We start from the raw sequence: 16,917 nt of genomic DNA, 5'->3' as shown, positions 1-16,917 counted from the left end.
ACTGCTCTATCAAAAGACAGGTTCAACTCTTAGTTGAAGGCACACATCCCAAAGAAGTTCCTGAGAATGCTTCTGTCTAGTTTTTATGAGAAGATATTTCCTTCTCCACCATAGGCCTCAAAGCGCTCCAAATAAACACTTGCAGATTCTACAAAAAGTGTGTTTCAAAACTGCTGTATAAAAGGAAATTTTCAACTCTGTATGTTGTATGCACACATCACAAAGAACTTTCTGAGAATATTTCTGTCTACTATTTTTGTGCAGCTAGACAGTTTCCAACGGATTCCTCAAAGAGTTCCAAATATACACAAGCAGATTCCACAAAAGGAGTGTTTCAAAACTGCACTATCAAAAGCAAGGTTCAACACTGTTAATTGAACACACACATCAAAAAGGAGTTTCTGAGAATGCTTCTGTCTAGTTTTTATGTGGAGATATTTCCTTTTCCACAATAGGCCTCAAAGCTCTCCAAATAAACACTTGCAGATTTTACAAAAAGTGTGTTTCAAACCTGCTCTGTCAAAAGAAAGGTTCAACTCTGTGAGATGAATGCACACAAAAAAAGAAGTTCCGGAGAATGCTTCTGTCTAGTGTTTACGTGAACATATATCCTTTTCCATCATAGGCCTAAAAGAGTTCCAAATATCCACCTGCAGATTTTACAAAAAGACTGTTTCAAAACTGCTCTATGAAAAGAAGGGCTCAACTCTGGGAGGTAAATGCACACATCACAAAGCAGATTCTGAGAATGCTCCTGTGTAGTTTTTATGTGAAGATATTTCCTTTTCCACCATAGGCCTCAAATCGCTCCAAATATCCACTTGCAGGTAGCACAAAAATACTCTTTAAAAACTGCTCTCTCAAAAGGAAGTTTCAACTCTGTGAGTAGAATGCACACATCCCAAAAATGTTTGTGAGAATTCTTCTGTCTCGTTTTCATGTGAAAATATTTGCTTTTCCACCACAGGCCTCAAAGCACTCAAAATGAACACTGCAGATTATTCAGAAACAATGTTTCAAATCCGTTCTATCAAAAGAAAGGTTCAACTCTGTGAGTTGAATGCTCACATCACAAAGAACTTTCTAAGAATACTTCTGTCTCGTTTGTTTCTGAAGACACAAGTTTCCAGCGAATTCCTCAAACAGTACCAAATATTCACAAGTAGATTCTACAAAGGGAGTGTTTCAATACTGCTCTATGAAAAGACAGATTGAACTCTGTTAGTTGAATGCACACATCTCAAAAAAGATTCTGAGAATGCTTGTGTCTAGTTTTTATGTGATGATATTTCCTTTTCCACCATAGGCTTCAAAGCGCTCCAAATGACCACTTACAGATACTACAGAAAGAATGTTTCAAATCTGCTCTATCAGAAGAAAGGATCAAGGGTGTGAGTTGAAGGCACACATCACAAAAAACTTTCTGAGAATAATTGTGTCTAGTTTTTTTCTGAAGATAGCCTGTTTCCAATGAATTCCTCAAAGAGATTCACATATCCACAAGCAGATTCTACAAAATGAGTGTTTCAAAACTGCTCTCAAAAGAAAAGTTCAACTCTGTGAATTGAACACACATATCACAAAGGTGTTTCTGATAATGCTTCAGTCTAGTTTTTATGTGAAGGTATTTCCTTTTCCACCATAGGCCTCAAAGCACTAAAAATGAACACTTGCAGATTATACAGAAAGAATATTTCAAATCTCCTCTATCAAAAGAAAGGTTCAACTCTGTGAGTTAAATGCACACATCACAAAGAAGTTTCTGAGAATACTCTGTCTAGTTATTTTCTAAAGATTGACCGTTTCCAAAGAATTCCTCAAAGAGTTTCATATATCCACAAGCAGATTCTACAAAAGGAGTGTTTCAAAACTGCTCTATCAAAAGAAAGGTTCAACTTTGTGAATTGAACACAGACATCACAAAGATGTTTCTGAGATTGCTTCTGTCTCGTTTTTATGTGAAGATATTTCCTTTTCCACCATAGTTCTCAAAGCGATCCAAATGAACAACTGGAGGTTCCTCAAAAAGTGTGTTTCAAAACTGCTCTAACAAAAGAAATGTACAACTCTGTGAGTTGAATTCACACATCACAAAAAACTTTCTGAGAATGCTTCTGTCTAGTTTTTATATGAAGTTACTCGTTTCCAACCAATTCCTCAAAGAGTTCCAAATATCCACAAGCAGATTCTACAAAAGGAGTGCTTCAATACTGCTCTATCGAAACACAGATTCAACTCTGTTAGTTGAATGCACACATATCAAAGAAGTTCCTGAGAATGCTTCTGTCTATTTTTTATGTGAAGATATTTCCTTTTCCACCATGTGCCTCAAAGCTCTTAAAATGAACACTTGCAGATTATACAGAAAGAAAGTTTCAAATCTACTCTATATAAGAAAGGTTCATCTCTGTGAGTTGAATGCACACATCAAAAAGAACTTTCTGAGAATGCTTCTGAATAGTTTTTATGTGAAAATACCCGTTTCCAACGTATTCCCCAAGAGTTCCAAATATCCACAAACAGATTCTACAAAAGGTGTGATTGAATATGGCATTATCAAAAGATGTTCAACCCTTAGTTGAAGGCACACATCTCAAAGATGTTCCTGAGAATGCTTCTGTCTAGTTTTTATGTGAAGTTATTTCCTTTTCCACCTGTGGCTTCAAAGCGCTCCAAATGAACAATTGCAGATTCTACAAAAAGAATGTTTCAAAACTGCTGTATCAAAAGAAGATTTCCACTCTGTGAGGTGAATGCACACATCACAAAGCAGTTTCTGAGAATGCTTCCGACTAGTTTTTATGTGAAGATATTTCCTTTTCCACACTGGCCTCAAATCGCTCCAAATACCCACTTGCAGATACTAGAAAAAGACTGTTTCAAGGCTGCTCTCTCAAAAGGAAAGTTCAACTTTGTGAGTTGAATGCACACATCACAAAGCAGTTTCTGAGAATGCTTCTGTGTAATTTGTATGTGTAGATATCCCGTTTACAACGAATTTCTCAAAGAGCTCCAAATATCCAAAAGCAGATTCTACAAAAGAGGTGTTTCAAAAATGCTCTATCAAAAGAAAGGTTCAACTGTGTGAATTGAACACACACATCACAAAGGTGTTTTTGAAAATACTTCTGTCTATTTTTTCTGTAAAGGTATTTCATTTTCCACCATAGGCCTCAAAGCACTCCAAATGAACAGTTTTAGATTTTAAAAAAAGTGTGTTTCAAAACTGCTCTATCAAAAGAAAGTTTCAACTCTGTGAGCTGAATGCACACATCACAAAGAACTTTCAGAGAATGCTTCTGTCTAGTTTTTATGTGAAGATATTTCCTTTTCCAACATAGGCCTCAAATCGCTCCAAATACCTTCTGGCAGATTCTACGAAAAGACTGATACAAAACTTCTCTCACAAAAGGAAGTTTCAACTCTGTGAGTTGAATGCACACATCACAAAGAAGTTTCTGAGAACGCTTCTGTCTAGGTTTTATGTGAAGATATTTTATTTCTACCGTAGGCCTCAATGCGCTCAAAGTGAACTCTTTTAGATCCTGTAAAACGAGTGTTTCAAAACTGCTCTATCGAAAGAAAGGTTCTACTCTGTGAGTTGAATGCTCACATCACAAAGATGTTTCTGAGAATGCTTCTGTCTAGTTTTTTTATGTGAAGATATTCCCTTTTCCACCACAGGCCTCATAGCGCACAAAGTGAACACTTGCTGATCCTAAAAAAGGAGCGTTTCAAAACTGCTCTATCAAAAGAAAGGTTCAACTCTGTGAGTTGAATGCAAACATCGCAAAGAACATTCTGAGAATGCTTCTGTCTAGAATTTATGTGAGGATATTTCCTTTTCCAACATAGGCTTCAAAGCGCTACAAATGAACACTTGCAGATTCTACAAAAAGACTGTTTCAACACTGCTCTCTCAAAAGGAAGGTTCAACTCTATGAGTTGAATTCACACATCACAAAGAAGTTTCTGAGATTGCTTCTGTCTAGTATTTATGTGAAGATATTTCCTTTTCCACCGTAGGCATCAAAGGGCTCAAAATGAACACTTGCAGATTCTACAGAAGAGTGTTTCAAATCTGCTCTATCAAAAGAAAGGTTCATCTCTGTGAGTTGAATGCGCACATCACAAAGAACTTCCTGAGAATACTTCTGTCTACCTTTTTTGTGAAGATAGCCCGTTACCAACGAATTCCCCTAGAGTTCCAAATATCCACAAGCGGATTCTTCAATAGGAGTGTTTCAATACTGCTCTATCAAAAGAAAAGTTCAACTCTGTTAGCTGAATGCCCACATCACAAAGAAGTTCCTGAGAATGATTCTGTCTAGTTTTTATGTGAAGATATTCCTTTTCCCACAAATGCCTCAAATCGCTTCAAATATCCACTGGCAGATACTACAGAAAGACTATTACAAAACTACTCTCACAAAAAGAAGTTTCAACTCTTTTTGTTGAATGCACACATCACAAAGATGTTTCTGAGAATGCCTCTGTGTAGTTTTTATGTGAAGAGATTTCCTTTTCCACCATAAGCCTCAAAGCGTTCTAAATGAACACTTGCTGATACTTCAAAAAGAGTGTTTCAATACTACTCTATCAAAAGACAGATTCAACTCTGTTAGTTGAAGGCACATATCTCAAAGAAGGGCCTGAGAATGCTTATGACTAGTATTTGTTTGAAGATATTTCTTTTTCCACTTTAGACCTCAAAGCGCTCCAAATGAACACTTGCAGATTCTACAATAGAATGTTTCAAAACAGCCCTTTCAAAAGAAATGTTCAACTCTCTGAGTTGAATGCACACATCACAAAGAACTTTCAAAGAATGCTTTTGTCTAATTTTTATGTGAAGATATTTCCTTTGCTACCATATGCCTCAAAACGCTGTAAATGAATACTTGCATTTTCTCCAAAAAGAGTGTTTCAATGCTGCTGTGGGAAAAGACAGGTTCAAATCTGTTAGTTGAATGCACACATCTCAAAGTAGTTCCTGAGAATACTTCTGTCCAGTTTTTATGTGAAGATATTTCCTTTTCCACCATAGGCCCCTAATCGCTCCAAATATCCACTTGCAGATACTACAAAAACACTGTTTCAAAACTGCTCTCTCAGAAGAAAGGTTCAACTCTGTGAATTCAATGCACACATCACAAAGCAGTTTCTCAGAATGCTTCTGTCTAATTTGTATGTGAAGAGATCCCGTTTACAAAGAATTCCTCAATGAGCTCCAAATATCCAAAAGCAGATTCTACAAAAGGAGTGTTTCAAAATTTCTCTATAAAAAGAAAGGTTCAAATCTATGAGTTGAATGCACTTATCACAAAAATGTTTCTGAGAATGCTTCTGTCTAGTTTTTATGTGAAGATATTTCCTTTTCCACCATAGGCCTCTAAGCGCTCAAAATGAACACTTGCAGATTATTGAGAAAGAACGTTTCAAATCTGCTCCATCAAAAGAAAGGTTCAACTCTGTGAGTTGAATGCACACATCACAAAGTACTTTCTGAGAATACTTCTGTCTACTTTTTCTGTGAAGATAGACCGTTTCCAACGAATTCCTCAAAGAGATCCAAATATCCACAAGCAGATTCTTCAAAAGGAGTGTTTCAAAACTACTCTATCAAAGAAAGGTTCAACTCTGTGAATTGAACACACACGTCAAAATGGAATTTCTGAGAATGCTTCTGTCTAGTTTTTATGTGAAGATATTTTATTTTCCACCATAAGCCTCAAAGCGCTCCAAATGAACACTTGCAGATTTTACCAAAAGAGTGTTTCACAACTGCTCTGTCAAAAGAAAGGTTCAACTCTGTTAGCTGAGTGCACATATCACAAAGAAGTCCCTGAGAATGCTTCTGTCTAGTTTTTATGTGAAGATATTTCCTTTTCCAACATAGGCCTCAAATCGCTCCAAATATACACTGGAAGATGGTTCAAAAAGACTCTTACAAAACTTCTCTCATAAAAGGAAGTTTCAACTCTGAGAGTTGAATGCACACATCACAAAGCAGTTTCTGAGAATGCTTCTGTCTAGTTTTTATTTGAAGATATTTCCTTTTCCACCACAGGCCTCAAAGCTCTGTAAATGAACACTTGCCGATTCTACAAAAAGAGTATTTCAATACTGCTCTATCAAAAGACAGGTTCAACTATGTTAGTTGAATGCACTCACCTCAAAGAAGGTCCTGAGAATTCTTCTGTCTCGTTTTTTGTACCATAGGCCTCAAATCGCTCCACATATCCTCTGACAGATTCTACAAAAAGACTATTAAAATACTGCTCTCACAAAAGGAAACTTCAACTCTGTGAGTTGAATGCACACATCACAAAGAAGTTTCTGAAAATCCTTCTGTCTAGTTATTATGTGAAGATATTTCCTTTTCCACCACACGACTCAAATCGCTCCAAATATCCACTTTCAGATTCTACAAAAAGAGTGTTTTAAAACTGCTCTGTCAAAAGAAAGGTTCAGCTCTGTTAGATGAAAACACACATCACAAAGAATTTCCTGAAAATGCTTCTGTATAGTTTTTATGTGAAGATATTTCCTTTTCCAACATAGGTCTCAAATCGCTAAAAATATACACTGGTAGATTGTACAAAAAACTATTATAAAACTGCTCTCACAAAAGGAAGTTTCAACTCTCTGAGTTGAATGTACACATCACAAAGAAGTTTCTGAGTGTGGTTTTGTCTAGATTTTATGTGAAGATATTTCCTTTTCCACAATAGGCAACAAAGCGCTCTAAATGAACACTTGCAGATTATACAAAAAGAGTGTCTAAAAACTTCTCTTACGAAGGAAAGTTTCAACTCTGTGAATTGAATGCACATATCACAAAGAAGTTTCAGAGAATGCTTCTGTATAGTATGTTAAGATGTTTCCTTTTCCACTGTAGGCCTCAAAGCCCTCCAAATGAACACTTGCAGATTCTACAGAAGAGTGTTTCACAACTTCTCTACCGAAAGAAAGGTTGATCTTCGTGAGTTGAATGCACACATCACAAAGAACTTTCTGAGAATGCTTCTGTCTAATTTTTATGTGAAGATATATCTTTTTCCAACATAGGCCTCAAATGGCTCCAAATATCCTCCTGCAGATTCTACAAAAAGACTGTATCAAAACTGCTCTATCAAAAGAAAGGCTCAACTCTGTGAGTTGAATGCACACATCACAAATAACTTTCTGAGAATACTTCTCTCTAGTTTTTATGTGAAGATATTTCCTTTTCCATCATAGGCTTCAAAGCGCTCCAAAGGAACACTTGCAGATTCTACAAAAAGACAGTTTCAAAACTGTTCCTTCGAAAGGAAGGTTCAATTCTGTGAGTTGAATGCACACATCCCAAAGCAGTTTCTGAGAATGCTTCTGTCTATTTTGTATGTGAAGATATACCGTTTACAATGAATACCTCAAAGAGCTCCAAATATCCACAAGCAGATTCTACAAAACGAGTGTTTCAAAACTGCTCTATCAAAAGAAAGGTTCAAATCTGTCAGTTGAATGCACACATCAAAAAAAGTTTATGACAATGCTTCTGTCTATTTTTTAGGTGAAGATATTTCCTTTTCCACTATAGGCCTAAAACCGCTCTAAATGAACACTTTTAGATTCTACAAAAAGAGTGTTTAAAAACTGCTCTATCAAAAGAAAGATTTAACTCTGTCAATTGAATGCACACATCACAAAGAAGTTTCTGAGAATTCTTCTGTCTTGTTTTTATGTGAAGATATTTCCTTTTCCACCATAGACCTCAAAGTGCTCTAAATGAACACTTGCAGACCCTACAAAAAGTGTGTTTAAAAACTGCTCTATCAAAAGAAAGGTACAACTCTGTGAGTTGAATGCACACATCACAAAGGAGTTTTTGAGAATGCTTCTGTCTAGTTTTTATGTGAAGATAATTCCTTTTCCACCCTTGGCCGCAAAGCGCTCCAATTGCACACTTGCAGATTCTACAAAAAGTGTGTTATGAAAAAGCTCTATCAAAAGAAATGTTCCACTCTTTGAGTTGAATGCACACATCACAAAGAACTTTCTGAGAAGGCTTCTGTCTAGTTTTTATGTGAAGATACCCGTTTCCAACGAATACCTCAAAGAGTTACAAATATCTACAAGCAGATTTTGCAAAAGGAGTGTGTCAATACTGTTCTATCAAAATACAGGTTCAGCTCTGTTAGTTGAATGCACACAACTCAAAGAAGTTCCTGAGGATGCTTCTGTCTAGTTTTTATGAGAAGATATTTCCTTTTCCAACATAAGCCTCAAATCTCTCTAAATATCCACTGGCAGATTCTACAAAAAGACTGTTTCAAACAGCTCTTTCAAAGGAAATGTTGCACTCTGAGAGTTCAATGCAAACATCACAAAGCATTTTCTGAGAGTACTTCTGTCTACTTATTATGTGAGGCCATTGGCCTCAAATGGCTCCAAATATCCATTTGCAGATACTACAGAACGACTGTTTCAAAACTGATCTCTCAAAAGGAAGTTTCAACTCTGTGAGTTGAATGCACACATCACAATGCAGTATCTGAGAATGCTTTTGTCTATTTTGTATGTGAAGATATACCGTTTACAACGAATTCCTCAAAGAGCTCCAAATATCCACAAGCAGATTCCACAAAAGGAGTGATTCAAAACTGCTCTATCAAAAGAAATGTTCAACTCTGTGAGTTGAATGCACACATCACAAAAAAGTTTCTGAGAATGCTTCTGTCTAGTTTATGTGAAGATAATTCCTTTTCCACCATAGGACCCAAAGCGCTCAAAATGAACACTTGCAGATTATACAGAAAGAATGTTTCAAATCTGCTCTATCAAAAGAAAGGTTCAACTCTGTGAGTTTAATGCACACATCACAAAGAACTTTCTGAGAATACTTCTGTCTAGTTTTTTTGTGAGGATATCCTGTTTCCAACGAATTCCTAAAAAGTTCCAAATATCCACAAGAAGATTCTACAAAAGGAGTGTTTCCAAACTGCTCTATCAAAACAAACGCTCAACTCTGTGAATTGAACACACACATCACAAAGGAATTTGAGACTGCTTCTGTCTAGTTTTTATGTGAAGATATTTCCTTTTCCAACTGAGGCCTCAAATCGCTGCAAATATCCACTGGCAGATTCTACAAAAAGACAGTTACAAAACTGCTCTCACAAAAGGAAGTTTCAACTCTGTGAGTCTAATGCACACAACACAAAGAGGTTTATGACAATGCTTCTGTCTAGTTTTTACTTGAAGATATTTCCTTTTCCAACATAGGCCTTAAAGTGCTCAACGTGAACTCTTGCAGATCCTATAAAAGGAGTGTTTCAAAAGTGCTCTATCAAAAGAAAGGTTCCACTCTGTGAGTTGAATTCACACATCATGAAGAAGTTTCCGAAAATGCTTCTGTCTGGTTTTTCTGTGAATATATTTCCTTTTCCACCATAGGCCTTAAAGCACTCAAAGTGAACTATTGCAGATCCTATAAAAGGCGTGTTTCAAAACTGCTCTATCAAAAGAAAGGTTCGACTCTGGGAGTTGAATGCACACATCACTAAGAAGTTTCTGAGAATGTTTCTGTCTGCTTTTTATGTGAAGATATTTCCTTTTCCACCATAGGCCTCAAAGGGCTCAAAGTGAACACTTGCAGATCCCTTAAAAGGAGTGTTTCAAAACTGCTCTGTCCAAAGAAAGGTTCAACTCTGTGAGTTTAATGCAAACATCTCAAGGAAGTACCTGAGAATGCTTCTGTCTAGTTTTTATGTGAAGATATTTCCTTTCCAACCATAGGACTCAAATCGCTCCAAATATCCACCTGCAGATACTACAAATAGAGTGATTCAAAACTGCTCTCCCAAAAGGAAGGCTCACCTCTGTGACTTGAATGCTCACACTACAAAGCTGTCTCTGAGAAATCTTCTGACGAGTTTTTATGTGAAGATATTTTCTTTTCCACCATAGGCCTCAAATCCCTCCAAATATCCACTTGCAGATCTACAAAAGAACTGATTCAAAACTGCTCTATCAAAAGGAAAGTTCAATTCTGTGAGTTGATTACACACATCACAAAGAACTTTCTGAGAATGCTTCTGTCTAGTTTTTATGTGAAGATAACTATTTTCAAGGAATTCCTCAAAGAGTTACAAACATCCACAAGCAGATTCTACAAAAGGAGTGTTTCAATACTGCTCTATCAAAAGACAAGTTCAATTCTGTTAGTTGAATGCACTCATCTCTAAGTAGTTCCTGAGAAAACTTCTGTCTAGTTTTTATGTGAAGATATTTCCTTTTCCACAATAGGACTCAAATCACTCCAAATATCCACCTGCGGATTCTACAAAAAGACTGTTTCAAATGCCTCTCTCAAAAGTGAGGCTCGACTCTGTGAATTGAATGCGCACATCACAAAGCAGTTTCTGAGAATGCTTCTGTCTAGTTTGTATGTGAGGGTATCCCGTTTACAACGAATTCCTCAAAGAGTTCCAAATATCCACAAGCAGATCCTACAAAAGGAGTATTTCAAAACTGTACTATCAAAAGAATGGTTCAACTCTGTGAATTCAACACACACATCACAAAGGAGTTTCTGAGAATGCTTCTGTCGAGTATTTAGGTGAAGGCATTTTCTTTTCCACCAGAGGCCTCAAAGTGCCCCAAATGAACACTTGCAGATTCTACAAAAAGAGTGTTTCAAAACTGCTGTTTCAAAAGAAAGGTTCAACTCTGTTTGCTGAATGCACATATCACAAAGTAGTTCCTGAGAATGCTTCAGTCTAGTTTTTATGTGAAGATATTTCGTTTTCCAACATAGGCCTTTAAGCGCTCAAAGTGAACTTTTGCAGATCCTGTAAGAGGAGTGTTTCAAAACTGCTCTATCACAAGAACGGTTCAACTCTTTTAGTTGAACGCACACATCACAAAGCAGTTTCTGAGAACGCTTCAGTGTAGTTTTTATGTGAAGATATTTCCTTTTCCACCATAGGCCTCAAGTCGCCCCAAATATCCACTTGCAAATACTACAAAAACACTGTTTCACATTTGCTCTCTCAAAAGCAAGGTTCAACTCTGTGAGTAGAATGCACACATCACAAAGTAGTTTTTGAGAATGCTTCCATTTTTTATGTGAATATATCCCGTTTACACTGAATTCCTCAAAGAGCTCCAAATATCCACAAGCAGATCCTACAAAAGGAGTGTTTCAAAACTGCTGTTTCAAAGGAAAGGTTCAACTCTGTGATTTGAATGTACACATAACAAAGAAATTTCTGAGAATGCTTCTGTCTAGTTTTTTTGTGAAGATATTTTCTTTTCCAAAGAATTCCTCAAAGAGTTCTAAATATCCACAAGCACATTCTAAAAAAGGAGTTTTTCAATACTGCTCTATCAAAAGACAGATTCAACTCTGTTAGTTAAATGCACACATCTCAAATAAGTTTCTGAGAATGCTTCTGTCTAGTTTTTATGTGAAGATATTTCGTTTTCTAACATAGGCCTCAAAGATCTCCAAATGAACACTGGAGATATTACAAAAAGAGTGTTTCAAAACTGCTTTGTCAAAAGAAAGGTTCAACTATCTTAGCTGAATGCACACATCACAAAGAAATTACTGAGAATGTTTCTGTCTAGTTTTTATATGAAGATATATCCCTTTCCAACACAGGCCTGAAATCGCTCCAAATATCCACCTGCAGATTCTACAGAAAGACTGTTTCAAAACTGCTCTATCAGAAGAAAGGCTCAATTCTGTGAGTTGAAAGCACACAACACAAAGCAGTCTCTGAGAATGCTTCTGTCTAGTTTTTATGTGAAGATATTTCCTTTTCCACCATAGGCCTCAAATCGCTCCAAATATCTACTTGCAGGTACCACAAAAACACTGTTTCCACAGTGTTTGCAGGTAGCACAAAAACTGCTCTCTCAAAAGGAAGGTTCAAATCTGTGAGTTGAATGCACACATCACAAATTAGTTCCTGAGAATGCTTGTCTCTAGTTTTTATGTGAAGATATTTCCTTTTCCACCATAGGAGTCAAATCGCTCAAAATATCCACTTACAGATACTACAAAAAGACTGTTTCAAAACTGCCCTGTCAAAACGAAGGTTCAACACTGTGAGGTGAATGCACACATCACCAAGCAGTTTCTGAGAATGTTTCTGCCTAGTTTCTACGTGAAGATATCCCATTTACAACGAATTCCTCAAAGAGCTCCAAATATCGAAAAGCAGATTCTACAAAAGCAGTGTTTCAAAACGACTCCATCAAAAGAAAGATTCAGTTCTGTCAGTTGAATGCACACATCACACAAAAGTTTTTGAGAATGTTTCTGTCTAGTTTTTAAGTGAAAATATTTCCTTTTCCACCATAGGCCTCAAAACGTTCAAAATAAACACTTGCAGATTATACAAAAAGTATGTTTCAAATCTGGTCTATCATAAGAAACGTTCTACTCTGTGAGTTGAATGCACACATCACACAGAACTTTCCGAGAATATTTCCCTCTGTTTTTTTTGTGAAGATAGCCCATTTCCAAAGAATAGTTTAAAAGTTCCAAATATCCAAAAGCAGATTCTACAGAAGGATTGGTTCAAAGCTGCTCTATCAAAAGAAAGGTTCATCTTTGTGAATTGAACACACACAACACAAAGGAGTTTCTGAGAATGCTTCTGACTAGTTTTTATGTGAAGATATTTCCTTCTCCACCATAGGCCCCAAAGTGCTCCAAATGAACACTTGCAGATTATACAGAAAGAAAGTTTAAAACATGCTGTATCAAAAGAAAGGCTCAACTCTGTGAGTTGAATGCACACATCACAAGGAACTTTCTGAGAATACTTCTGTCTAGTTTTTTTTGTGAAGGTGGCCCGTTTCCAACGAATTCCTCAAAGAGTTCCAAATATCCAAAAGCAGATTCTACAAAAGCAGTGTTTCAAAACTGCTCCATCAAAAGAAAGTTTCAACTCTGTGAATTGAACAAACACATCACAAAGGAGTTTCTGAGAATGTTTCTGTCTAGTTTTTATATGAAGATATTTCCTTTTCCTCCTTAGGCCTCAAAGCTCTCCAAATGAACAATTGGAGATTTTAAAAAAAGAGTGTTTCAAAACTGCTCTGTCAAAAGAAATGTTCAACTATATCAGATGAGTGCAAACATCACAAAGAATTTCCTGAGAATGCTTCTGTCTACTTTTTTTGGGAAGATATACCCTTTTCCAACACAGGCTTCAAGTCGCTCCAAATATCCTCCTGCAGATTCTACAAAAAGACTGTTTCAAAACTGCTATATCAAAAGAAAGGCTTCACTCTGTGAGTTGAATGCACACATCACAAAGCAGTTTCTGAGAATGCTTCTCTCTAGTTTTTATGTGAAGATATTTCCTTTTCCATCAAAGTGCTCAAATCACTCAAAATATCAACTTGCAGGTATCACAAAAAGATTGTTTCAAAACTGCTCTCACAAAAGGAAGGTTCAACTCTGTTAGATGAATGCGCACATCACAAAGCAGTTTCCGAGAATTATTCTGTACACTTCGTATGTGAAGATATCCTGTTTACAACGAATTCCTCAAAGAGCTCCAAATATCCCCAAGCAGATTCTACAAAACGAGTGTTTCCAAAATGCTCTATCAAAAGAAAGGTTCAATTCTGTGAGTTCAATGCACACATCACAAAAAAGTTTCTGGGAATGCTTCTGTCTAGTTTTTATGTGAAGATATTACCTTTTCCACCATTGGCTTCAAAGTGCTCCAAATGAACACTTCAGTTTCTACAAAAAGACTGTTTCAAAACTGCTGTATCAAAGGAAGGGTTCAACTCTGTGAGTTGAATGCACACATCACAAAGCAGTTTCTCAGAATGCTTCTGTCTAGTTTTAATATGAAGATATTTCCTTTTCCACCATAGGCCTCAAATCGCTCAAAATATCCACTTGCAGATACTAGAAAAATATTGTTTCAAAACTGCTCTCTCAAAAGGAAGGCTCAACACTGTGAGTTGAATGCACACATCACAAAACAGTTTCTAAGAATGCTTCTATTTTGTATGTGAAGGTATCCCATTTACAACTAATTCCTCAAAGATCTCCAAATATCCACAAGCAGATTCTACAAAAGGAGTGTTTCTAACTTGCTCTATCAAAAGAAAGGTTCAACTCTGTGAGTTGAATGCACGCATCACAAAAAAGTTTCTGAGAATGCTTCTGTCTAGTTTTTATGAGAAGATATTTCCTTTTCCACCATAGGCCTCTAAGCGCTCAAAATGAACACTTGCAGATTATTGAGAAAGAATGTTTCAAATCTGCTCCATCAAAAGAAAGGTTCAACTCTGTGAGTTGAATGCACACATCACAGAGAACTTCTTGAGAATATTTCTGTCTAGTTTTTTTCCGAAGATAGCATGTTTCCAATGAATTTCTCAAATAGTTCAATATATCCACAAGCAGATTCTAGAAAAGGAGTGTTTCAAAACTGCTCTATCAAAAGAAAGGTTCAACTCTGTGAATTGAACACACACATCACAAAGCTGTTTCTGAGAATGCTTCTGTCTAGTTTTTTTGTGAAGATATCCCGTTTCCAACGAATTCCTCAAACAGTTCGAAATATTCATGAGCAGATTCTACAAAAAGACTGTTTTAAAACTGCTCAATCAAAGGAAAGGTTCAACACTGTCAGTTTAATGCGCTCATCACAAAGCAGTTTCTGAGAATGCTTCTGTTTAGTTTTTATGCGAAGATATTACACTTTCAACCATAGGCCTCAAATTGCTCCAAATATCCACTTGCAGATACCACAAAAACACTCTTTCAATACTGCTCTCTCAAAAGGAAGATTCAACTCTGTGAGTTGAATGCACATATCACAAAGCAGTTTCTGAGAATACTTCTGTTTTGTGTGTAACGATATCCCGTTTACAAAGAATTCCTCAAAGAGCTCCAATTATGCAGAAGCAGATTCTCCAAAAGGAGTGTTTCAAAACTGCTCTATCAAAAGAAAGGTTCAACACCTTGAGTTGAATGCACACATCATGAAGGAGTTTCTGAGAAAGCTTCGTTATGGTTTATATGTGAAGATAATTTCTTTTCCACCATAGGCCTCCAAGCGCTCCAAATGAACACTTGAAGATTCTACAAAAAGTGTGTTTCAAAACTGCACTATCAAAAGAAAGTTTCAACTCTGTTAGCTGAATCCACACATCACACAGAAGTTCCTGAGAATGCTTCTGTCTAGTTTTTATGTGAAGATATTTCCTTTTCCAACGTAGGCCTCAAATCGCTCCAAATATCCTCTGGCAGAATTTCCAAAATACTATTACAAAGCTGGACTCAGAAAAGGAACTTTCAACTCTGTGAGTTGAATGCATACATCACAAAGAAGTTTCTGAGAATGCTTCTGTTTAGTTTTTATGTGATTATATTTCTTTTTACACCTTATGCCTCAAAGCGCTAAAAGTCAACTATTGAAGATCCTGTAAAAGGAGTGTTTCAAAAGTGCTCTACAAAAAGAAAGGTTTGACTCTGTTAGTTGAATGCACACATCTCAATGAAGGTCCTGAGAATGTTTCTGTCTAGTTTTTATGTGAAGATATTTCCTTTTCCAACGTAGGCCTCAAATCGCTCCAAATATCCTCTGGCAGAATTTCCAAAATACTATTACAAAGCTGGACTCAGAAAAGGAACTTTCAACTCTGTGAGTTGAATGCACACATCACAAAGAAGTTTCTGAGAATGCTTCTGTTTAGTTTTTATGTGATTATATTTCTTTTTACACCTTATGCCTCAAAGCACTAAAAGTCAACTATTGCAGATCCTGTAAAAGGAGTGTTTCAAAAGTGCTCTACAAAAAGAAAGGTTTAACTCTGTTAGTTGAATGCACACATCTCAACGAAGGTCCTGAGAATGTTTCTGTCTAGTTTTTATGTGAAGATATTTCCTTTTTCAAAACAGGCCTCAAATCGCTCCAAATATCCATTTGCAGATACTACAACAACAATGTTTCAAAACTGCTCTCTCAAAAGGAATGTTCAACTCTGTGATTTGAATGCACACATCACAAAGCGGTTTCTGAGAATGCTTCTATTTTCTATGTGTAGATATCCTGTTTACCATGAATTCCTCAAAGAGATCCAAATATCCACAAGCAGATTCTACAAAAAGAGTGTTTCAAAACTCCTCTATCAAAAGAAAGTTTCAACTCTGTGTGTTAAATGCACACATCACAAATAACTTTCTGAGAATTCTTCTGTCTAGTTTTTATGTGAAGATATTTCCTTTTCGGCCATAGGCTTCAAAGCGCTCCAAAAGAACACTTGCAGATACTACAAAAAGACTGTTTCAAAACTGCTCTATCAAAAGAAGTTTTCCACTCTCTGAGGTGAATGCACACATCACAAAGCAGTTTCTGAGAATGCTTCTGTCTAGTTTTTATGTGAAGATATTTCCTTTTCCATAATAGGCCTCAAATCGCTCCAAATATCCACTTGCAGACACTATAAAAACACTGTTTCAAAACTGCTCTCTTAAAGCAAGGTTCAAAACTGTGACTTGAATGCACACATAACAAAGAAGTTTCTGAGAATACTTCTGTCTACTTTGCATGTGAAGATATCCCGTTTACAACGAATTCCTTCAAGAGCTCCAAATACCAGCAAGCAGACTCTACAAAAGCCGTGTTTCAAAACTGCTCTATAGAAAGAAAAGTTCAACACTGTGAATTGAATGCACACAACCCAAAAAATTTTCTGAGAATGCTTCTGTCTAGTTTTTATGTGAAGATATTTCCTTTTCCACCACAGGCCTCAAAGCGCTCAAAATGAACACTTGCAGATTATATAGAAAGAAAGTTTCAAATCTGCTCTATCAAAAGAAAGGTTCAACTCTGTGAGTTGAATGCACACATCACAAAGAACTTTCTGAGAATACTTCTGTGTAGTTTT

The sequence above is a fragment of the Homo sapiens genome, chromosome 12 (assembly GCF_000001405.40).
Source record: "Homo sapiens chromosome 12, GRCh38.p14 Primary Assembly".
NCBI classification, from domain to species: Eukaryota; Metazoa; Chordata; class Mammalia; order Primates; family Hominidae; genus Homo; species Homo sapiens.
This window is presented reverse-complemented; position numbering follows the sequence as displayed.